Source organism: Homo sapiens, chromosome 5 (genome assembly GCF_000001405.40).
Source record: "Homo sapiens chromosome 5, GRCh38.p14 Primary Assembly".
Classification (NCBI taxonomy): Eukaryota; Metazoa; Chordata; class Mammalia; order Primates; family Hominidae; genus Homo; species Homo sapiens.
Window position 1 is genome coordinate 125,599,130 of NC_000005.10, and position 25,384 is coordinate 125,624,513.

The 25,384-nt window shown below is 34.8% G+C and overlaps 2 long non-coding RNA genes across 2 annotated transcripts in view; one reads left to right on the forward strand and one right to left on the reverse strand.

Moving 5' to 3' along the window:
• Positions 1–3,098, forward strand: part of LINC02240 (long intergenic non-protein coding RNA 2240) — a 108,967-nt gene extending 105,869 nt beyond the window's left edge. The window contains exon 4 of the long non-coding RNA NR_109887.1: positions 2,087–3,098. This is a non-coding gene — a long non-coding RNA (long intergenic non-protein coding RNA 2240). The remainder of the gene's footprint in view (positions 1–2,086) is intronic.
• LOC124901056 (uncharacterized) overlaps positions 1–25,384 on the reverse strand; it is an 891,204-nt gene that overhangs the window by 120,035 nt on the left and 745,785 nt on the right. Inside the window, exon 8 of the long non-coding RNA XR_007058919.1 lies at positions 12,874–12,932. This is a non-coding gene — a long non-coding RNA (uncharacterized LOC124901056). The remainder of the gene's footprint in view (positions 1–12,873; positions 12,933–25,384) is intronic.

Here is a 25,384-nt window from a genome sequence, read left to right on the forward strand (position 1 = left end):
GTTTCCAGATGGCTTAAAATGAGTAGTATTCAAGTTGGCTACCCGTATATTTTGCCTTTAGGAATGCATCTCCATAATTGCATCTCCATGGTTCTCCAGAAGTCAGGTCCCCTTGATTGTCATTCCAAACCTGCAACTCATTTGTATTGAGTTGTATTGGCTTCCTGCATACAAGCACTGCCATTTGGTCCTTATTGTTTGTATCCTATATGTTCTGTAATGGCCTTTCCTACTGTCATCCCTGGCTAACAGGAGAGAGACATCACTGAGTTTTTATTGATATTTGTGCTCCCCTGACCAGTGCATTTGCTATGACCTCTCCATGAAACATAATCACTTGATGAGACTTTCAGCTTTACATAATACAGTTGACCCTTGAACAACTCAGGGATTAGAGGCACCAACCACTGTGCAGTGAAAATTCTTGCATAATTTTGACTACCCATAATTTAACTACTAGAGCCTGCTGTGGACTGCAAGCCTTACCAATAACAGTCAGTTAACACATATTTTATGTATGTATTATGTACTGTATTCTTATAAGAAAGTAAGCTACAGAAAAGAAAATATTATTCAGAAAATCAAAAGGAATGGAAAAATATATTTACTATTCATTAAGTGAAAGTGGATCATCGTAAAGTTCTATATCCTCATGGTCTTCACATTGAGTAGGCTAAGGAAGAGGAGAAAGAAGAGAGGTTGGTCTTGCTCTCCCAGCAGTGGCAGAGGCAGAGGCAGAGGCAGAAAAAAAAATTGCATGTAAGTGGACCCACACAGTTCAAATCCATGTTGTTCAAGAATCTATTCTAGTATAATCACTTCCTTGAGTCTTTGAACTCCTTACCCCACTGCCTGCCAAGACAATTCTGGCATTTCAATGATGCAATGTAAGTCATCAATTTCCAATGCTTTTAGGAGCCATCTTGTTACTTAACTATCTCCTGGGGTCTTTCTAAGGATATTGTATCTTGTGTATCTCAGGATAGTGCTACTGTACAAACTCTCCCCTATGCAATTCTATAATCTGACCTCCTTAATCAAGGACCCTCAGAATTGAGTTGTTTCCTATACATGCTGGCCAGTTCCTGCAGCTCCTTTAGAATATCATCTCTTTTTTTTTTTTTTTCCCTTGGCTCACACGATCCTAGCTGGGTGATACAGTGACTTTACCCAAGTTATAAGCCCTAATGGCCAGTGGGTAGGGGTGCGACAGATCTGGAGGTTGGTATTGTCCTCAAGTAATGGGGAAAGTGCTAGGAAGTACTCTTCCCCAAAGAGAACTCCCTTGCCCAAGGAAATGACCTTCTTCTGCATTCAATGAAAAGTAAGAGATATGTCTCTAAAGGGTCATCTCTGTGCCTGAGTTCCCTGTGGATCTTCTTAAGTCTCAGTTTCAGTTGTCTTGCAATTCAACTTCTCCCTCTGCCCAATCCTGGTTCCCTTATGTTCTCATAAATGCTGCCTCCCAGGGAACTCTTCTGTAACCTCTCTGCATGCACATTTCTGTCTTAGGGTCTGTTTCCCAAGGAAGCTGAGCTAAGAAGATGTGTAACCTTTATTTGTAATCATTTCTGATTGTATACCCCTTTGATATAAACCCCACCTAATTGCAGGCAAAATGCTGAAATTCATTTGCCAGTAGTAACACCATAATGTCAGAGGCCAAATAAAAAAGATAAATCAATGATTGCGTGAAATGCTGCAAGTGAGAAGAGTTATGTAATGTATCCAAGAGGAATAATACTAGCAGAGTGTGTTTGTTTGCAGAAGATGGATGAGGGAGTTGTAGGGGGATATTAAAGAAAGGAATATGGGAAGAGAATTGGCATCAAAGAGGTTTTATGTGAAAGAACAATAGTTAAAGTGATGAGAATGCAATGGGAAGCCTGATTAGAGGAGTAGCGCCCGATTAGAAGTCACTCAGGTGGCAACATGTGAAAAGACTGTCAGTCAAGAAAGCTTATAGGTGTTGCACTGCAGTCTATTCAGCCTAGATGAGAATTGATAGAACACCTGGTGCTTTATACTCTTGGCTGAGCCACATCACACCTTATTAATGGTGTATCTATTCCCTTTCTTCCCTCAGCAAAACATTAAAAACTTGAGATGAAAGCATGCCGTTCTAAAACATATTTGGCTCAAAGAAAAAGATGCTTCCCAGGACTACAAAAGATCTTTCTTTAATGAAACTTTAATTAAACTTTGCTTTAATTTGGATCACAACGAAGAAAATAAGGACTTTTCATCTTGCCCCATGTGGAAAGTATCAGTGTCTCCTATGAATAAAATTTTTGGAATTTAAATGTCTTGCAATCTTTCAGGACCTTTAGTCCCATTGATAATTGACTATGACAACAAAATCAATTGTTTGCAACTAAATTTACAAACATATATTTTTAGGATGGATACATGTACCAGAAATACATTATTGTGTGCCCTCTAAGGTGTTATTAGTAACAATGGTAATTAGAGGGAACAAAAGCTGGGAAAATAAAATTGGGAGGAGGCTATAAGCCAGTTCTTTAGGGTTAATGAAACAATAGTTGACATCATGTTTTCCCTCCCCAAAGAAGCCACCAAATGGCAACACATAATTAGTATGAAATAACACTATTCAGAACAATTCTTAGGTGCTAAATACTTTGTTATCTACAAAGAACACATATTTGAAAAACGTCAACTTTTGAAAAGACTCAAATAGAGTGTTTGAATATGTGTCATGTTTAGAATCTGGTCTGTTTCATAGGGAATGTTCTTGCTGTCAATACCACTGTGTGTTACCTCTTCACTGGGAAGGAGTCCATATGTCTCAGATTTGCCCTTGACCACAGACATTTGCCAAGAAGAGACAAGAAATGTGTCCTCATTTGTACAGATGTACGGAGAAGAAAGCTCATCATTTTCAAAAAACAACTAAAATGCCTTCTCTGTACTGAACATTATGTGTGTGGATTACAGAGTGGAATAAGAGGGATGCAACCTGGCCTTAATAAGGGAGAGGTGTTCATGGCACACGTATACCTTTGTAACAAACCTGCACATTCTGCACATGCATCTCAGAACTTAAAGTAAAATAAAAAATAAAAATAAAGAAGTGAGAGGTGTTGTTCATGGGTACATTTTCCCCAAACACACCGGGCGGGACAAAAACTGGGATTTTGTTTTCAAGCCTAGGAAAGGAGCCTGCGAACAATGATTCTTGGGCCAAATCCAGCTCTCTGTTCTTGTAAATAAAGTTTTATGGGAGCATAGTCATGCTCATTTATTTACATATTGTCTATGACTGATTTCGTGCTACAAAGGCCAGATTGAGTAGTTGTCAGAGAGGCATTATGGCTCACAAAGCCTAAAATTAGTTATTGTTTGGCCTTTTACAAAACAAGTTTGAAAACCCCTGGTCTAGGTGAAGAAAAGCACATTTAGAAACAGATCCTACCTATCTGTCCTGTACCCAACATAGCAAAGCAATATAATAGCCAGAGGAGTCACTCAAAGGCCTAGGCACATGTAGCTTGTAATTTAGCTTAAATTTATGAAAGCTTCTGCTCAGAATAATTCCTTTAAATGCATGTCCCATTCATTTTGGTTTGTCACACACACACACACACACACGCACACACATTGGATGTATAATTACAACTTGCATTGCTATTAGTGCACAATCACAAAACTGTTACCATGCTATTAATTTTCCACACGTTCTATTAACTTCCTAATGGTAGCTGTGTTACTCATCTCTTATGCTGTAAGTACATTCATGTGTTGCTTAATGATGGTAATACGTTCTGAAAACTTGTTAGGCCATTTCATTATTGTGTAAATATCATAAAGTGTACTTGCACAAACCTAGATGGTGCAGCCTACTACACACATAGGCTGTACTCTAGGGTCTCCAACCCCCAGGCTTCAGAGCAGTACTGGTCCTTGGCCTGTTAGGAATGAGGCTGCACAGAGGGACGTGAGCCGTGGACAAGCGAGCATTACTGCCTGAGCTCTGCCTCCTGTCAGATCAGTGGCAGCATTAGATTCTCACAGGAGGGCAAACCCTATTGTGAACTGTGCATGCAAGGGATCCAGGTTGCACACTTTTTATGGGAATCTAATGCCTGATGATATGAGGTGGAACAGTTTTATCCCAAAACCATCCCCACCCCACCGCATGGGAAAACTATCTTCCATAAAACTTGTCCCTGGTGCCAGAAAGCTTGGGAACCGCTGCTACACAGCATGTTCCTGTACTGAATACTGTAGGCAATTATAACACGATGGTATCTGTATATCTAAACATAGAAAAGGTACAGTAAAAATATGGTATAAAAGATAAAAAATGGTACATCTCCATAGGCCCTTAACATGAATGAAGCTTGAAGGACTAGAAGTTGCTCTCAGTGAGTCACTGAGTGGGTGGTAAGTGAATGTGAAGGTCTGGGACTTCACTGTGCACTACCACAGACTTTATAAATACTGTATAGTACAATCCGGTTACACTAATTTTTAAAATTATTTCTTCAAAAACAAAGTAACCTTAGCTCACTATAACTTTCTTACTTTATAAACTCTTTAAATGTTTTAAAACTTTTTCTTACTTTATAAACTTTTTAATTTTTTAAAACTTTTTGACTTTTGACTCTGGTAATAACATTTAGCTTAAAATATATTGTACAGGTGTACAAAAATATTTTATTTCTTTAGAACTAAGCTTCTTTCTATCCTTATTTTTCTATCCTTCTATCTATAAGCTTTTCTCTACCCTTATTTTTTTCAGTTTTTAAACTTTTTTATTAAAAACTAAGACACCAACACACACATTAGTCTAGGCCTATAGAATCATCAATATCACTATCTTCCACCTCATCTTGTCCCACTAAAAAAAAGGTCTTCAGGGGCAATAACACACATGAGCTGTCCTCACATATGATGACAGTGCCTTCTTCTGCAATACCTTCTGAAGGAACTTCCTGAGGCTGTTTTACAGTTAACTTTACTTTTTGTAAGTAGAATGAATTTACTCTAAATAAAAAGTAAATATATAAACCACTAACATAGTCGTTTGTCATTATCATGCATTATGTGCTGTACATAATTGTATGTGCTATACTTCTATACAACTGGCAGTACAGTAAGCTTGTTTACACCAGCATCACCACTAACATGTGAGTAATGTGTTGCATTACGACATCCAACAGCTATGACATCACTAGGTGATAGGAATTTTTAAGCTTCATTATGGTCTTATAGGACCACCATAGTATACGTGGTCCATTGTTGACCAAAATGTTATGTGGTGCATGATTTGCTGCAGTTTGCTGAGCTTCAATATGGTGAGCATCTGGATGCCTTAGAGACAAAAGAAATTTCTAATATAAGAACACACGGTGAGGCAAGGTTAGAGGGCTTTCACTCAGAGTGCAGAAGCTACTCTGTATACACTAGACTGTGCTCCCAGAACATCCTAACCACAGTCTTCACTCGGAATGCTTTCCACCATTTCCCTGGTTGAAAGTAGGATCAATGTATTTCCAATCTACAGATCTGCAGCTGCTGGGTTTGGAAAAGAGAGGGCACTGAAATATCATACAGGCAGTCAAGAATGAGTGTTTCAGTGCTCATGGGGATACATTGCTAAATGGCCTAGAGTTGACAATGGAGTGAGAAGGAATCCCATAAAATGAAGGGTGAAGTCACAATGGCAAATTAATTTATTTGATCTATACTGCTTTTAATAGAATATTATTTTGAGCTATCAATCAGTAAAATGCAGAACGTGTGAACCTCAGAATTGAGTAGTGGGAATTACAGCAGGAAAATAAGAAACAAAAGAAGTGAGCTACATCTTAACAGATGTCCAAGGATTCCAAGGGTGATTAGGAGCAGCCCCTCCACTAAGTCTAAGCCCCTTCCACTCTCCTTTCTGAACTTAGAGCTCACCACAGACAGAAGGAAAAAAAAGGGGAAAAAATATGAAGTTGCTAATAGAAGCTCTGCAAAATATTCTAAAAATGAAGAATTGACTGAGTTTAAATGCATGTTTAAATAAGTTTGAATAAGCTTAAGCTTACCCTGAATTGACAAAATTATGTTTTCTATCATCAGCTAAAATGGCCTCAGGAACTAAATTAAGTTAGAGACATTTTAAAAGGCACATTTTTGCACATATATCTCTGTAACTTAGAAATGCATGCCAGCCCAGAGATAATATTCCAGCATTTTCTTCTGACTTTTCCCACTCTTGTCATTCTATGCAAATAGCTCCAACACATGTTGGACTTGAAGGAGGCTAAATTTGAGAGCAGAACTTTGAATGCTGCTTTGGAGAAGTGGAGGAAGGCTTATAAATCATGGTCACAGCTGCATTCCTCCTCAGCTGGGTAGGGTCCTGGGTTGCTGTAGTGTAAGTGACTCTTTACTGCATATAGACAGTAAATATCTTCAAAGATGCCTCAGCCTTATATTTTTCAAGCTGTTAAGACTCCAAAGCCTAGGACTAGAAAGGGAATCCAAAGTAACTTGTTAACTGTGTGCAATGTAATTTGCTGTTTTAGACAAAGAAAAGGTAGATATCTTTCCTCCCATACAATAGTTTTGTGCTTACTATCTGTGATGGCTAATATTAGGAGTCAGCTTGATAGGAGTGAGGGATACTTAAAATGTCTGGTAAAGCATCGTTTCTGGGTGTGTCTGTGAGGATATTGCCAGGAGAGTCTGACGTGCTGAGGTAGGAGGCAGAACTTGACTCCATAACCGGGGCTCAGACACCAGACCAAAGTGAGGACTAGCTAAGACAGGAATGGGGCAGAAGCAGCTTTCCAAAAGACACGCCCACCAGTGTGCCATGTCAGTTTACCATTGCCCAGGCAACCCCTGGGAGTTACCACCTTTTTCCATGTCAATGACCCGATGTCCTAGAAGTTATTACCTGTTTCCTAAAAGTTCTTCATAAACTGCCCCTTAATCTGCATACAATTAAAAGTAGGTATAAATATGACTGCAGAACTGCCCTGAGCTGCTGCTGTCAGCACACTGTCTATGGGATAGCCGTGCTCTGCAGGTGCAGTCCTGGAGCTGTAACACTGCCTGAGCTATAACACTGCTGGAGCTGTAACACTGCCACTTCAATGAAACTGTTTGCTTCTACCATTGCAACCTTGAATTCTTTCCTGGGTGAAGCAAAGAACCCTCTCACACTAAGCCCCAACTTGGGGCTTGCCTGCCCTGCATGAATGTGAGTCAGTGGACTGGGAGAGGAAGATCTGCTCTCAATGTGGCCAGGCACCATCCATCCAGCTGGAGGCTTGGCTTGAACAAAGCAGACAGAAGGGGGACATGTAGCTTGCTTGGCTTTCTTTCTTCCACTCTCTCTCCCTTCTAAAACAAGACACCTTCTTCTCCTCCTGTCCTCGAATGTCACAGTCCGGGTTCTCTGGCCTTTGGTCACTACTGTAGAAGCACTCATTATATCTTATTTTAACTGTTTATCTTCTCCTATCCCTCAACACCCTCAATAGAATATGAACTCCTTGAAGATGGTAGAAATAGGTTCTTATATTGCTGTAGTCCCAGTATTAATTCTGAACAAAGATAAACACATGACCCTTCGTGAATCCCCCAAAGTAAAGTCAATTTAGCCTATTTCTATCCCCCACCTCTGCCTGTGTAATTTTTCCAGGGGAATGGATATTCCAAAGATGGAATCTACTACTTCTTTAATCAATCTAGTGGCAGGAAAATATTGTTTTCTAATGGGGGAAAAATTGAATTTTCTTCTTTGGCGAGGAAGATAAGATGAGTTTGCTAAAAAGGGACATAGTTTAGAGAAAGAATAAGTGATTTTTCTTCATGGGATAGGACTTAGCATATCAAGTAATAGGAGGCAAACCTCAGAACATGCTATAGCTTCTGAACCTGCTAATATTTAGCAGAAACATAACTTAAGAATTCTCTCAGCCCCTGGCTGGCTAGGCTGGGATGAGGCATCTGGAGGACCTTAAATTGGTCTCCTTGGACTGAGAGTGGCCTTTTCTGTTCAGCGTGTTTGAAATATTATCAAATTCTATGTGAGTCACTACATGAAAAAGGAGAGGAAGTACTGAGAGATAAGGAAGTTCCCACGACTTTTAAGGCTGTTGCATGGGTTTGCATAGGCATCTGAGGCATTTGAGAAACTGAGCTCTGGGCTGGTGGTAAGAGTCAGGATTATGGACTCCAGCCTGGGCAGAGGCTATGGCCCCATGGAGCACACTTTTTCTCTGTACAGAAAGGAACTTCCTCTGTTAGTATGTGGCTCCCTTAGAGAGAGATCTTGCTGCAGTGTCTCCTGATGCCATCACAGCATGTTGGTGAATTTGCTTATAAAGTGTCCCATCACTCTTAGTATAACTTCATAGGCCCTTATAAACCAAGATCCCTGATCCACAATTGCAAGGGCCCTCTGCAGAAAAGAGCTAACCTAGCAGGCTTGGGTTGCTCAAATGCTCCACATTTCCAAGAAAGGCCTGGCCAGATGATCTCCTGGGAGATGATCTCCAAGCCCTTGGAATATTCTACCTTATAACCATGCTTTTGTATGCTTGAGGCTTTGGACCGAGAAGTATCAGTTTGATGAGATGGTTTATGTGACTTATGGTGAATACCTAGTCTTGCTCTGAAGGGCCACAGCCTGAGTAGCTGTGTGTCTATGTGACTAACCCCAAAGCTCAGGTGGGCTTCCCTGGTTGGCAACACTTTGTTTTGCTACATTTAAAGCTAACTTGACATAGCTGGAATTTTCTCCCAGGATCTTATTTCTTTCAGCTTTGGGGTTACAAATCCAGTTTCCTAGAGTTTCATTTTTATCCCTTACTTCAATGTTTAAAATCTTCCCTCCAAAGCCACCTAATCAGGCTGAGAGGTCTTGTCTTCCTTTGGTTCTGCCCAATCCCTTTTCATCAACCTTCTTTTCCTCAGGCCTTTCACCTGCTCAGGCATCGTGTGTGAGCCTGTAAGTCTCTTCTGATTAACTCGCCTCTGACCTATTAATGTGCTCAGTCATTCCTGCAGCAGTTCCATTGTCAAACCAGTGCTCCAAATGTATTATTTTTTTCTATTTCTGCCCTCAATGGAGTTCACTTATTTTCAACCCAGGGCCTTGATCTTGTTCTCAAGCTATTTGCTTTTCTGCCATCAAGAGGCAAACAAAAACTAACCACAACATTCTAAAAACCCAAATATATTTAAGAATAAAATTTATTTTTCTCCAAGACCATGGTTACTTTATACTCAAAAGAAAATTCAGTACATCTTCATTGCAATAATATTTGGGCCAAAACATACCGTTATTTTCATCAAGACACTTTTGTTTTAGAGAGCCCAAAATCCTTCTCAGTAGCTATATTAGTTTTCTTTTGCTGCTGTGACAGATTACCACAAATTTAGCAGTTTAAAGCAATACAGATTTACTTTCTTAAAAATTTTATTTTATTTATTTATTTTAGAGACTGGTCTTGCTCTGTAGCACAGGCTGGAGTGCAGTGGCACAATCCTGGTTCACTATAGCTTCGAACTCCTGGGCTCATGTGATCCTCCTGCCTCAGCCTCCCAAGTAGGTGGGACTATAGGTTGGCACCACCATGTCTGATATATTTATATATATATATATATATATATTTTTTTTTTTTTTTTTTTTGAGACAGAGTCTTGCTCTGTCACCCAGGCTGGAGTGCAGTGGTGCAATCTCAGCTCACTGTAACCTCTACCTCCCAGCTTCAAGTGATTCTCATGCCTCAGCCTCCCACGTAGCTGGGCTACACGCACGTGCCATATTTTCAGTAGAGAGGGTTTCACCATGTTGGCCAGGCTGGTCTCAAACTCCTGGCCTCAAGTGATCCTCCTCCCTCGGACTCCCAAAGTCCTGGGATTACAGGTATGAGTCACCATACTCAGCTGCAAAACAGATTTCCTATCTCACATTTCTGTAGGTCAGAAAAAGGTAGGTTGTCTTGACTGGTTTCTCTATTGTAGATTTCACAAGGCCAAAATCAAGTGGTCAGCCAACTAGGCTTTGGTTAGGAGAGTCTGGAGAAGAGTCGTATTGGGGTTGAGTCAGGCTGTTGTTGGCAGAACATTCATTGCAGTTGTAGAACTGATGTTCCTGTTTTTTTGCTGGCTGTTATTTAGGGGTTACCCTTTATGTCTAAAGGAGTTGTGTGCATGTCACTGCATCTCAGGAATTGTGTCATAAGTCCTTCTCACATGCTTGTAATCTAACTTGCCCCTTCTGCTGTGTGAATCCTTCTGACTCTAGTCAGAGAAGGTTCTCTGCTTTTAAGGGATCAATCATGTGATTGAGATTATTTCCACAAATAAAACCCAGGACAATCTCCCTATTTTAAAGTGCTTAATCTTAATTACATTTGCAATGTCCCTTTTGCCATAAAATGTAATATGTTCACAGATCTGGGAACTAAGGTGTGAACATATTTGAGGAGTCATTATTCTGCCTATCACAATAACTGTAGCTCAGCCTATGTAACTGGAAAAAATCTAATGAGTAGACTGAGCTTTAGAGACAGATGAATTTATGAGCTCAAAAATATCCACAGAACTCTGTGACTCCCCATCTTGATACCAGCTTGTTTGATTTGGCTTCATTACTCGGTCCTTCTGTATGGTGGGAAAGGTGATCACCACAAGCTATCAGCTTACATAGGTTCAGTTAAGAGGTATATGTGTTGAGTGTTTGGGAGATGAACATGAAAATCCTGTTTTCAGCTCGATTCCTAGGGGAATGTGATTTCCTATCGAAGGAAGTTGAAAGCATTCATCTAATCACCACAGGGCTAGCTAGAAACAACAGATCTGGATCCCTGATATTAGAGCTATAATTCTCCAAGAGGACAGGAGCTAGAAGAGTATAGAAAGTAGTACACATGTAGTGGGAAACAAAAAAGAACACAGATGTGTTATTGAAAGTGATCTATCTTGTTTACCTTCCACACAACCCAGGAAGAAAACGCTCATGGCAAGCAAATAGTCTCAGTTCTTACACTGATAGAACTGTGTGATCAAAGTAAACATATATATACATATATATATGTATATATATATGTTTAAGCATATATATATGAATACATATTTATGAATATATATATATATTTCAAGTTCAAAATTAGGTTTATTTGACGTTAGTCATGACATTCATTATATTTTGAACTCTTTAAAGACAGGTGTGTACAGTAAGATATATTTTGGCTACACGTAACAGAAAATATAGAAAGCAAAGGGTAAGTATGTGTATTACCTCACATAGCTAAATACATGGTTGTGGGGTAATTCTAAGGCTGGAAAAGCAAATACATTTCCAAAGACATCGATTCTATGTCTTCTTTAGCTCCCCAGAGTTTTGACTTCTTTTAGGCTTGTTCACTTAAAGGTCCTCAGATGGCTATTTCAGTTCCAGGTACCACATGCAGATAACAATGTCAAGACGAAGAAAAAGAAATAACCCCCTCATTTATCTCTTTTAGAAATGAGGACAATCTTTCCAGACTTTTTCATTGGCCAGAATCATCCCACGTGATCACGCCTTGAGCAATGAATTGTTGTGGCAAAGACAGCCACTGATCAGCTAGGACCAATAAAGACTGTCCCCTGTAGCTATTTCTCTAGACTCACATGAACACTCAAAATGGTGAACAAAAGCAGTTATCTGTCTGCAAGTAACATGGAGGAAATATCTACTGGGTAAATGTCCAGCTGTGTCTTTCACAGAGAGGGAAAATATTTATATGCTTATCGTATGGTTCATGAGTAATAAAAAATTCTAAAACATTGGATTAGAGACACAAAGCAGCAGTAAGAATCTATCAATGGTTATCTAGCATTTTTTAATGTTCTGAAAGAATTAATGTCTTTCTTTGCAATTAAATGACAAAGCCTTAGTTCTTTAAACAAATGCAAAAAACAAAACACAGATCAAAGAGGGCCTTGAAACAAGAAGTGAGCATGCCAGGAAAATGTGATGAAATAAAGAGTATGTAACATACAGAGGACGTGTACAGCAAAGATATTATTGCCTTATGTGTTTTACCAAAGAATTAATACCAGGTCCACCAGGAGAATAAACTGCATATTAATGTCAGAATGTAGGTGTGAGGGTCTCTATGAAAGAAATTACAGTAAAATATATGCATTGCTCTCATGGCAGAGAATAGTATGGAGAACAGTGAGTGTGCATATGTGTGTGTGTGTGTATCTTTTTCCATCATTGGTAAGTATACTTAAGAAAACACCTGACCATAAGTGCAAGAAGCACAGATATGGAATCTTTTTCATTCACTGTCTTAATCTAGAGCTTAGTACAGTACCTGGCCCTTAGTAACTGTGTGTGTGTGTGTGTGTATATGTGCGTGTGTGTGTATATGTGTAAGATAGGTAGATAGATAGGGAGGGAGGGAGAAAGAGAGAGAGAGGGAGGGGAGAGAGAGAGGGAGGGGAGAGAGAGAGGGAGGGGAGAGGGGGAGAGAGAGAGGGAGGGGAGAGGGGGAGAAAGAGAGGGAGGTAGGGGGAGAAAGAGAGGGAGGTAGGGGGAGAGAGAGAGAGAGAGAGATTGATTCTCTTGCCCAGAGTGGACAAAAACAGGAAAACAGGAAACATATTTCTGATGGGAATGTTGTAACTTGTCCATGTAACAAATCAGTAAGGTAGATATTTTCAAGACTAACATTAATTTTTTCCATAACTGATAAATGAGTTTTCTCATTGTACATAGTTTTGGAATAAAGTTTAAGCATTATCTTCATTACAATGCTATAATTCTTAGATTTGTATTTTTGCATATCTCCCTGACTGGATTTTTCAGAGTAAAATTTATTTTGATAAAGAACTAAAAGGCAATACCTTTAGTGTTACACTTGCTTCAGCAATTGTAGAACACCATTAGTTTCCATGTGTTACGCCTGAAAAATATTCAATAAAAGTTAAGGTTACAAAAACCATAAAGCATATCTAAGTTCCAACTAATACAAGAAAATCAATGAAATTCCAAGCATGTCTGTGGCTGCATCCTGAATTCATCTCAGATCCCAAGCGATACAATACAAATGAAACGGAACACTTCACCCCATTCTACAAATTCCCTCTGCAGACTTTATAGCAAGATGAGTTATGGACCAGCTGACTCAAGCTCAGAGCTTCGTACCGCTCTTGTTTTGTTACATGTGACAGGTTGGGTCTTTGAGAGTCCGGACTAAATTACGGTTTTCTCTAGGTTTGAAGCAGCAAGCATTTTACATAGATCAGTCCTTCTTCGGGGAACGGGGGCGGGGCAGACTGTGAATCTTTTCAGGACCAGTAGCATCCTATCCTACCAGACCCACGGCTGAGGCCACATGCCTGTTGACATGCTAGGCATGTTGCCCGCATCCATTCGATAAATGTTCTTTTGGCTCCCTTCCTCACAAGCTGAATGCCGGGAAGTGACAGGTGCAAGTGTAGACCAGGCTGGCGCAGTATCTGACTGTTTGAACGACTGGGACTTTCTGTCTGACAGGATTTACCCAGTCATGATGGATGGTGGCTAGAGAACAGGAAAGAGGAAGGGAAGCAGGAAAGGAAACTAACTGCATTACACCACGGGGATCTATAAAATGCTCACCTATGAAACAATATGAGGAGCTCAATATCTGACAAGAGTTGAGGGAATTAAGAGTTATTTGATTACAGGTGCTCAACTGGCATTCATTTTCCTCTTATTATCTGAGAACCCTCCCTTGAGAGAAAGCACTAACCTTCAAAAGGAGCAGATGAATGGCTCTATTAAAAGCACTGTAGTTTGTTCATGGCTCTGTAGCATCTGACCATTTTATGAACTCAGTGGAATTGTAAATAGGAAACAGAAGAGAGGAAATATCTTTCTGAAACAGTGTACAGATGACTTAATCTGTCTTCAGTGATTTGTAAGCCAAAAGAAGAATATTCACATGGAAAAAATGATGTAAAATCAAATCTGCTCCCACCCCTTAATCCCCCATCTTGAATATTTCTCTTAAAGGACAGATATTTCAATACTATATGATGTCAAATTGGGATGGTTTCTTATTTTTTTAAAAAAAGATGCCTAAGTTAGATATGGTTAAATAATTGGCTGTTGATATTTTATATATATCTAGCACATATATATATCTATGGTTCATTTTAATCTTAGTTAAAAAGAAATCCATAGATCTTTTTTAGTATCTACTTTCAGAAACAATTTCTGCGATAGTAGCTGCTATGAAGGGAAAATACCGCATCTGAGGAAGTCATAAATAAAAAAATTCACTGAAATCTAATGAAGTCCATATGACATCAACTTTTTCTCCTCTAGTATAAAGCAGGATGAGTAAAATTTATTTAAAACCACGTCTCCAAAATTAGGATTATCAGTACTGGTTATTTATTCTTTATTTAGAAAGAAGAGTAAATGTTTTATTGGTGTTATGGCTTGTTTAATAGCTTATTTCGGGTGTATCACTGAGGAATATATAATATTCATATCTCATCAACAGGAATAAGAACTTGGATATAAATTTGTAACATACAGAAGAGTGCTAAAAGATTCAAGAAATTCAGGAATAATAATTCATGTCAGATAGAAATAATTTCTTAAGATCATTTATTCTTTTTGCTCATTTATTATTTGTATCAAACCTGAGTTAAGAGTAAAAATTAATATTTTAAATCCTGCTAACAGAAGTCTGAAAGGAAAGCTTCTCTCTTTTATCAAAATACATCAACTGTACATAAAGCATAAAATGTCATCTTAGTACATTAACTATAAAACTTGTTATACATGTGTACATTTATACACACCAAAATTAATACACTGAAATGTGGCAATTTTTTGTTTCAAAAAAATTCAGCTTAAGACTATTTGATAATTTTACTTCTCCAAAAACAACTTTTGAAACATCCTGAGACTTCCTCAGAATATTCAATATTTTATTTAAAAATTCTGAAAACATCTAAAAGTCAAACTTAAATATTTTTGCTCAAAGAATGAGATATATCTGTAAAAATTAAGAGAATTCTTAGGTAGCTTACAAATAGGCTCTGAATACAATTTTGAAGCAGTGGCAATATCACTTCTTTTTTATTAAGTATATAATTTATGCTAATACATGAATTCCAAAAATAATTTCATCATTTAATAAAATCACACATTATGCAATAACTTTTAAATATTACTTGTCATACTTGTATGACACACCTGTATGAGTTTTCATGATGACAAACATATCATCAAAACATATACAGTCAACCCTTTATAATTCAACTACTGTGAGATCAGAAAATAAGTACATAATTATTTAATGCATTATGTCTCATAATCTTAAAACTGTAAATGTCGTATTGTTTTTCTGAGCTACTTAAAAATTGATGACCTACCCTGGAAATTTACTGTAAACCAACAGGTGGTATTAGTGGTAGCTATATCATGTATAATATATATATCACACAATATATAGTCTATATTATATATTCTAAAATATATAGTCTATATATATTCTATAATATATAGTCTATATTATATATTCTATAATATATGGTCTGTATTATATATTATATATATTATATATAATATAGTCTATATTATAATATATCATATTATATATATTATAGTCTACATTATATCATCTATAATATATATAATATTATAGTCTATGTAATATATCATACATAATATATAACATTATAGTCTATATTATAATATATAATATATAATATATAATATTATAGTCTATATTATAATATATTATGTATAATATATATCTTATAATCTATATTATATCATATATATTATAGTCTTACTATAATATATCTTATGTAATATATATAATATTATAGTCTATATTATAATATATCATATAATATACATAAAATTATAGTCTATATTATAATATATCATATAATATACATAAAATTATAGTCTATATTATAATATATCATATAATATACATAAAATTATAGTCTATATTATAATATATCATATATAATATATATATTCTAGTCTACATAATATATACTATAGTATATATAATATATATATTTTATATATATATTATATATAATATAGTATATATACCATAGTATATATAATATATATATTTTATATATATATTTTATATACATATTATATATAATATAGTATATATACCATATTATATATAATATATATATTTTATATATATATTTAATATATATAATATATATAATATGGTATATATACTATATTATATATAATATGGACTATAATAGTCCATATATTATATATAATATATAATATATTATATATTATATATATCATTTATACTATATATTCTATATAATATATATTTATAATATATATTATTTATAATATATAGTATAAATAATACATATTAAATATAATATAGTCTATAATATATAGTCTGTATTATAAAATATATATTATATATTATATATAATACATAATATGCATGATATACATGACATACATTATATATAATATATAGTATATTATATATACTATACATCATATGATGTATAGTATATATTATATTATATATATATTATAGTATATATTATATATAATTTAATATATATTCTATTATATAATGTGTAATAGAATATATATAATACTGGATATAATTTATTTATATTATATGAAATATTTATATATAATTGTAATATATAATTATAATTATTTATTATATCATATTATATATATTATATAATTATAATTACATATTATATAATATATAATTATATATAATATATAATTATACAATAATATATTAGAAGTATATAATACATAATATATTTTATATGATATATTATATAATTATATATATAATTACATATGATATATTATATTATATAATTACATATATTATATTATATAATTACATATGATATATTCTATTATATAATTACATATGATATATTCTATTATATAATTACATATGATATATTCTATTATATAATTACATATGATATATTCTATTATATAATTACATATGATATATTATATTATATAATATATATGATATATAATATATATTATATAATTAAATATGATATATAATATATATTATATAATTATTATGTATGATATATAATATCTTATATAATTATTACATGTTATATAATATATTATATAATTATTATATATGATATATAACATATATTATATAATTATTATATATGATATATAACATATATTTAATAATTATTATATATGATATATAATATATATTATATAATTATTACATATGATATATAATATATTATATTATATAATTATTATATATAACATATCATATATAATACATATAATATATTATATATTATATATTATATATTATATATACTATACATCATATATAATCTAATATAGACTATATTATAATATATAATATATAATATAGACTATAATATATAACATATATTATAATATAGACTATATTATAATATGTAACATATTATAATATAGACTATATTATAATATATAAGATATTATAATATGTTATATATAAGATAGTCTATTATATATTATATATTATAATATAGTCTTATTATATATTATATATTATAATATAGTCTATAATATGTTACATATTATAATATAGTCTATATTACAATATATGTTATATATTATAGTCTATATTATAGACTATATTATAATATATAACATATAAGATAGACTATAATATATATTATATATTATAATATAGTCTATATTATTATATTATATATTATATATAATATATTATAATATAGACTATATTATAATATATAATATGTAATATATATAATATAGACTATATTATAATATATATTATATATAATATATATACTATATATGATATGTATGTTATATAGGATATAGCTACCACTAACACCACCTGTTGGTTTACAGTAAATTTCCAGAGTAGGTCATCAACTTTTAAGTAGCTCAGAAAAATAATATGACATTTACAGTTTTGAGATTATGAATGGTAATGCCTAGGTTTTCTTCTAGGGTTTTTATGGTTTTAGGTCTAACGTTTAAGTCTTTAATCCATCTTGAATTGATTTTTGTATAAGGTGTAAGGAAGGGATCCAGTTTCAGCTTTCTACATATGGCTAGCCAGTTTTCCCAACACCATTTATTAAATAGGGAATCCTTTCCCCATTGCTTGTTTTTCTGAGGTTTGTCAAAGATCAGATAGTTGTAGATATGCGGCATTATTTCTGAGGGCTCTGTTCTGTTCCATTGATCTATATCTCTGTTTTGGTACCAGTACCATGCTGTTTTGGTGACTGTAGCCTTGTAGTATAGTTTGAAGTCAGGTAGTGTGATGCCTCCAGCTTTGTTCTTTTGGCTGAGGATTGACTTGGCGATGCGGGCTCTTTTTTGGTTCCATATGAACTTTAAAGTAGTTTTTTCCAATTCTGTGAAGAAAGTCATTGGTAGCTTAATGGGGATGGCATTGAATCTGTAAATTACCTTGGGCAGTATGGCCATTTTCACGATATTGATTCTTCCTACCCATGAGCATGGAATGTTCTTCCATTTGTTTGTATCCTCTTTTATTTCCTTGAGCAGTGGTTTGTAGTTCTCCTTGAAGAGGTTCTTCACATCCCTTGTAAGCTGGATTCCTAGGTATTTTATTCTCTTTGAAGCAATTGTGAATGGGAGTTCACTCATGATTTGGCTCTCTGTTTGTCTGTTGTTGGTGTATAAGAATGCTTGTGATTTTTGTACATTGATTTTGTATCCTGAGACTTTGCTGAAGTTGCTTATCAGCTTAAGATTTTGGGCTGAGACAATGGGTTTTTCTAGATGTACAATCATGTCGTCTGCAAACAGGGACAATTTGACTTCCTCTTTTCCTAATTGAATACCCTTTATTTCCTTCACCTGCCTAATTGCCCTGGCCAGAACTTCCAACACTATGTTGAATAGGAGTGTTGAGAGAGGGCATCCCTGTCTTGTGCCAGTTTTCAAAGGGAATGCTTCTAGTTTTTGCCCATTCAGTATGATATTGGCTGTGGGTTTGTCATAGATAGCTCTTATTATTTTGAAATACGTCCCAACAATACCTAATTTATTGAGAGTTTTTAGCATGAAGTGTTGTTGAATTTTGTCAAAGGCTTTTTCCGCATCTATAGGCATGGGCAAGGACTTCATGTCTAAAACACCAAAAGCAATGGCAACAAAAGACAAAATTGACAAATGGTATCTAATTAAACTAAAGAGCTTCTGCACAGCAAAAGAAACTACCGTCAGAGTGAACAGGCAACCTACAAAATGGGAGAAAATTTTTGCAACCTACTCATCTGACAAAGGGCTAATATCCAGAATCTACAATGAACTGAAACAAATTTACAAGAAAAAAACAAACAACCTCATCAAAAAGTGGGCAAAGGACATGAACAGACACTTCTCAAAAGAAGACATTTATGCAGCCAAAAAACACATGAAAAAATGCTCATCATCACTGGCCATCAGAGAAATGCAAATCAAAACCACAATGAGATACCATCTCACACCAGTTAGAATGGCAATCATTAAAAAGTCAGGAAACAACAGGTGCTGGAGAGCATGTGGAGAAATAGGAACACTTTTACACTGTTGGTGGGACTGTAAACTAGTTCAACCATTATGGAAGTCAGTGTGGCGATTCCTCAGGAATCTAGAACTGGAAATACCATTTGACCCAGCCATCCCATTACTGGGTATATACCCAAAGGACTATAAATCATGCTGCTATAAAGACACATGCACCCGTATGTTTATTGCGGCATTATTCACAATAGCAAAGACTTGGAACCAACCCAAATGTCCAAAAATGATAGACTGGATTAAGAAAATGTGGCACATATATACCATGGAATACTATGCAGCCATAAAAAATGATGAGTTCATGTCCTTTGTAGGGACATGGATGAAATTGGAAATCATCATTCTCAGTAAACTATCACAAGAACAAAAAACCAAACACCGCATATTCTCACTCATAGGTGGGAACTGAACAATGAGATCACATGGACACAGGAAGGGGAATATCACACTCTGGGGATTGTTGTGGGGTGGTCGGAGGTGGGAGGGATAGCATCAGGAGATATACCTAATGCTAGATGACGAGTTAGTTGGTGCAGTGCACCAGCATGGCACATGTATACATATGTAACTAACCTGCACAATGTGCACATGTACCCTAAAACTTAAAAGTATAAAATAAAAAACAAAAAAAATTTCTTAAAAAATGAATGAATTGATCTAAAAAAAAGATTATAAGACATACTGCATCAAATAGCCTATATACTATGATATTGCATTAAAAACCTATGTACTATATATATAATATATACTCTATATATATAATGTTTTTTAACTACAATTACTTCTAATAAAAGTTAACCAACATTTAGTGATTATCTACTACGTGCCAGGCACCAGAGAAGAGTTTTTCTCTCATTATCATATTGACTCCACACAATGTGACTATCATTATCTTCATTTTACAAGTAAGAAAACTGAGGCTTAAAGAACTTAAGGAACTTGCCCATAGGTCTCCCTCTTTGACAACCATAAAGGCCTTTGTCCTCACCTTACAACTAATGCTGCTTCATTCCTCATGCAAAACAAATGAACTTAATAATCTGTGACTGGTGTTTTGTTCTAAGAAAAGCCACACTAAGATATACACCTTTATTTGAGGGATACATTTTCAATTTCTTTATTGCAAATGGGATGTTTAAAGCTTGCACATTTTCTGTGGGGGAAAAAAATCTCTGCTGAGAAAAAGCCAAATTTTGTGGTTTAAGATTATTATTAAAAATCCTAGAGACACTTGCTCACTAAACCTGTTTCAAATGAGGAAAATGAGTGATCTGTGGTCATCACTGCCATTTAATTCTGACCTAGGAAACGTTACAAATGGGCCAGTAGACCCTTCTTAAAAGCAGTGACCTGTTTCAGGCAAAACTCTTAAATGTCCCCAACATCTAAAGAATCGGTGGCACAATAAGAGCTAGGTGACTTCCCATAAGCAGAGGGCTAAAACTAGGATAGAAATACCGGAATGTTACATAATATTGTTTTGAATGGCAAACAAAGTCTGGATATCCTGAAATGTCTTGCTTGTTGCTTCTTTAAAGAAAAGAAAATTCAACTTTGCTCCCAAATGACTTTTATAAACATCAAATAACTTGCCCTTTTTATCCACTTCCTAAGTGATGGTGCATGGATTCCAGCCCAGTTCTTCAGGATGACCACACACTTTGAATTAACCATATGATAATAGGAAAATGATATTTATTTAGTGTCTATTATGTGCTAAGCATTGCATTACATATTTTATGTACGTTATTGATATCTGTTTAAAAAACAAAACCTTAGGAAAGTTATCATAAATCACATTTTACAGAAAAGGAAGTTGAAGCTTAGAAGTTTAGAAAGTTAAGAAATTTTTCAGAGAAATTAAGAAAATTTTCAAGGTCACACAGCTAAAATAAGGAAGCCATATTATGGAGACATCACATAGGACAAAACAGACTACTATCTAGTTACCTGTAACTTTGGCTTTGCTCAACAACCCTCCAACCTTGGCACAATACTTACAGAATAAAAAACAAAATGAAAATTCATAGAAAATGAAAAACTAAAATAGCAGTACAATCTCAAAGCAATAAAACATTCAAGAGTATAGAAGTAAAAACCACAAATTAAGAATCATCAAAAGAATTTTTGAGAATGTCTCAATAAGAAAATTCAGGAAAATATAATACAAGATATCAAACAATTGATAACATTATGATTACTCTAATATGTCTCTTCAAACATCTCAGGCAAAACTTTGAAGACTTAAACTTGGAACTTAGTTTTAGCTACACTTAAGACTCTTGCACTGGGAGGAAAGAATGAGCTAGAGAATCAGTCAGGGTCATTACACAAACAGGCACATAGAGCAGATGTGCACAAAAATGTATGTATTCAGTTGTACTTTGCTTAAATATTTACTTGAAACATCTCAATTTAAGGATCAGTGAATAATTTACTTTCAGAATCAATACTATGGAAGAGACATTTACTGTTCACCAAATATCCATGTGCTCTCTAAGATTTCTAGTCATCTAGCAATTACATGACTCATGACCAGATTTAGCCAATAAGCTATGAGCAGAAAGGATGAGTGTCACTCCTAAGTCAAAGCATGGAAGAGTAGGTGTTAGTTTCTAACATATTCTCTCCTTCTCCCATAGCCACTGGTAGAGTTCCAGATGGCAGAATCTCTTCAATCAATCTGGGTTTCTCAGAGGAACCATATGGAACAGAGAACCTTCCACCAAGCTGCATTAAATATGTAGCGTGAGTGAGAAATAAATTTTTTAGTGTTAGGTGATTGACATTCTGGGGTGAATTTGTTATTGCAGCATAACTTAGTGTATTCTGACTCAGGCAAGAACTTTCACATTTACAGACCTCAGAGAATCAAGAGCCATCACTGCACTAGAAATATCTTCTGAATTATACTGATGCCCAATAAATTCCCAAACTGTCTGGCTAAAATTTTAATGGCTAAAATGTTTAAATGAACTGTATGCCAAAACTGAAGCTTTTCTTTATTGGCAGGTTCTGAATTACCAAAATCATCTAATAGGTACTTACTATTTGGGATCATAAAGACAGATTATATTAATTCTGCTTAAGACATGTTGAGTGAGATATAGGACTTCTCTGAAGAGACTCATTTATGCAACAAATCCTGATTGAATACCTATGTGGGAAGCACTCATCTCAGTATTATAAATACAATGGTGATCAAAACCAGACATAGCCTCTATCCTCAGCCTAATGGTTGAGATACATAAAATAAATTACACAAATAAGTCTAAAGTCAAAACTGATAAAGAAGGTGAAGGCTATAGTCAAATTAGTATGCATGGCATCATTAGAGTTCTCCTGAAGAACTGAATATTAAGCAGAAATAAGAAAATAGTAAAAGAGGTACTTCACTGGGGTAGAGAAGTTATTTAAGTCAGAGGACACATAACATGTAAAGGATTGAGTTGGGAAGAAGCATGTTTGAGAAACTGGAAGGAAAGGAAGCTGCAGCAGAAAGAACTAGAAGACAACTTACGGAAGACAAAAAGCAGGTAGAGGCCTGATCTTACAAATCCTTGTAAAACACTTAAGAATTTTATTCATTATCTTCAGGGCAATGGAAAAAAAACTGAAAAGCTTTAACTTGAAGGAGGACACTATCATCAGAAGTGTGTTTTTATATAATAAAAGATTACTGATTATGGATTGAAAGAGACAGGAGTAGACACAAAAAGGAGCAGTTGGGACAGGACTGTTTCTGCGGCTAAGAGGCAACATTCAGGTCATATTGAATGTTTTATTTACTGGTTGCTCTGCATTACCTACCTACCAGCAATGTATAATGGTTGCAGTTTCATCATATCCTTGCCAACACTTATTTTTTGTCTAATTAAAGCCATTCTAGTGTGCAAAAAAATATGTCTTCATAGTTTTGATTTGCATTTCCCTACTGATTAATTATGTTGAGTATCTCTTTATGTGCTTACTGGCCTTTTGTATATTTTCTTTGGTGAAATGCCTATTTAAATCTCTTTCCCATTTTTATATGAGGTTGTTTCCTTATTAAGTTATAAGGAATTTGAATTTATCCTGGGTACAAGTCCTTTATCAGATATATGATTTACAAATATTTTCTCCCAATTTATGGCATGGTCTTTTCATTTTCTTGATAGTCTCTGGAAGTGTAAAGATTTTTAATTTTGATGAAGTCAAATTTATAAATTTTACCATTCATTACATATACTTTTGGTATTATATTTAAGAAATCATCCCTTAGCCCAAGTTCATAAAAACTTACCCCTAAATTTTCTTCTAAGTGTTGACAGTTGTAGCTTTTACATTTTTGTCTATGATTCAATTTGAGTTAGGTCTTTTTGTTTGTCTGGTGTGTATGAGTGGTCCAAATTCATCTTTTACATGCAGATATCTAATTGTCCCAGCACTATTTGTTGAATGTTTGTTTTAAAAAGCCAAATAAACTCCAAGTCCAACTGATTGACACTATCTCACAGTTGGAGGCCGAGGTGGGTGGATCACGACGTCAGGAGATCGAAGCCATCCTGGCTAACACGGTGAAACCCCGTCTCTACTAAAAATACAAAAAATTAGCAGGGCGTGGTTGCGGGCACATGTAGTCTCAGCTACTCGGGAGGCTGAGGCAGGAGAATGGCGTGAACCCAGGAGGCGGAGCTTGCAGTGAGCTGAGATCATGCCACTGCACTCCAGCCTGGGTGATAGAGCAAGACTCCGTCTCAAAAAAAAAAAAAAAAAGTCGATGCAGCACCCAAAAAATCTAGTTATCTACTCTTCCCTGGCTGAATGTGAGGCTTAGTGCACAGTAAAGACACAAAAATTCTGGAATAAAGTGAAAGCCAAAACTCAAGGAATCACATTTAAAGAATTAAAGGAAAATACAACAAAGACAAGTTCTCAAATAGAAAATATCAATAAAGAGACAGAAATAAAAAAGACCCAAATGTCAATTCTACAGTTGTAGGTACAATAATTGAAATAAAAAATTTTCTTGAGGGGCTGGCTTAACAGAAGATTTAAGCTGGCAAAAAAATAATCAGAGAATTTTAAGATAGATAAATAGAAATTATCCATTCTGAAGAAGAAAAAGTAAAAAGAATGAAGAGAAATGGACAGAACCCGAGACCTGTGAATACCACTAAGCATACCAATATATGTATGACAGTAGCCTCAAAGAGAAGAAAGAGACAGATTAAATATTCAAAAAAAATTTTTATATTTGGTTTAAAACATTAATTTACACATCCAAAGCTTAATGAACCCCAGGGAAGATAAACATAAAAAGATGACACCTGGTAAAAACCTAGTCAAACTGTTAAAAGTCACAGATACAGATAATATCTTGAAAGCAACAAGAGAAAAATAAGTCAGCATACAAGGAAACCAAAATAGGATTAAAAACTGTCTTATCATTAGAAGCAATGGAGGCTAGCAGGCAGTAGAAAGACATATACAAAGTGTGTATAAGACCTGTCAACCCATCAATACCTAATTTATTGAGAGTTTTTAGCATGAAGGGCTGTTGAATTGTGTCAAAGGCCTTTTCTGCATCTATTGAGATAATCATGTGGTTTTTGTCTTTGGTTCTGTTTATATGCTGGATTACGTTTATTGATTTGTGTATGTTGAACCAGCCTTGCATTCCAGGGATGAAGCCCACTTGATCATGGTGGATAAGCTTTCTGATGTGCTGCTGGATTTGGTTTGCCAGTATTTTGTTGAGGATTTCTGCTTCGATGGTTCATCAGGGATATTGGTCTAAAA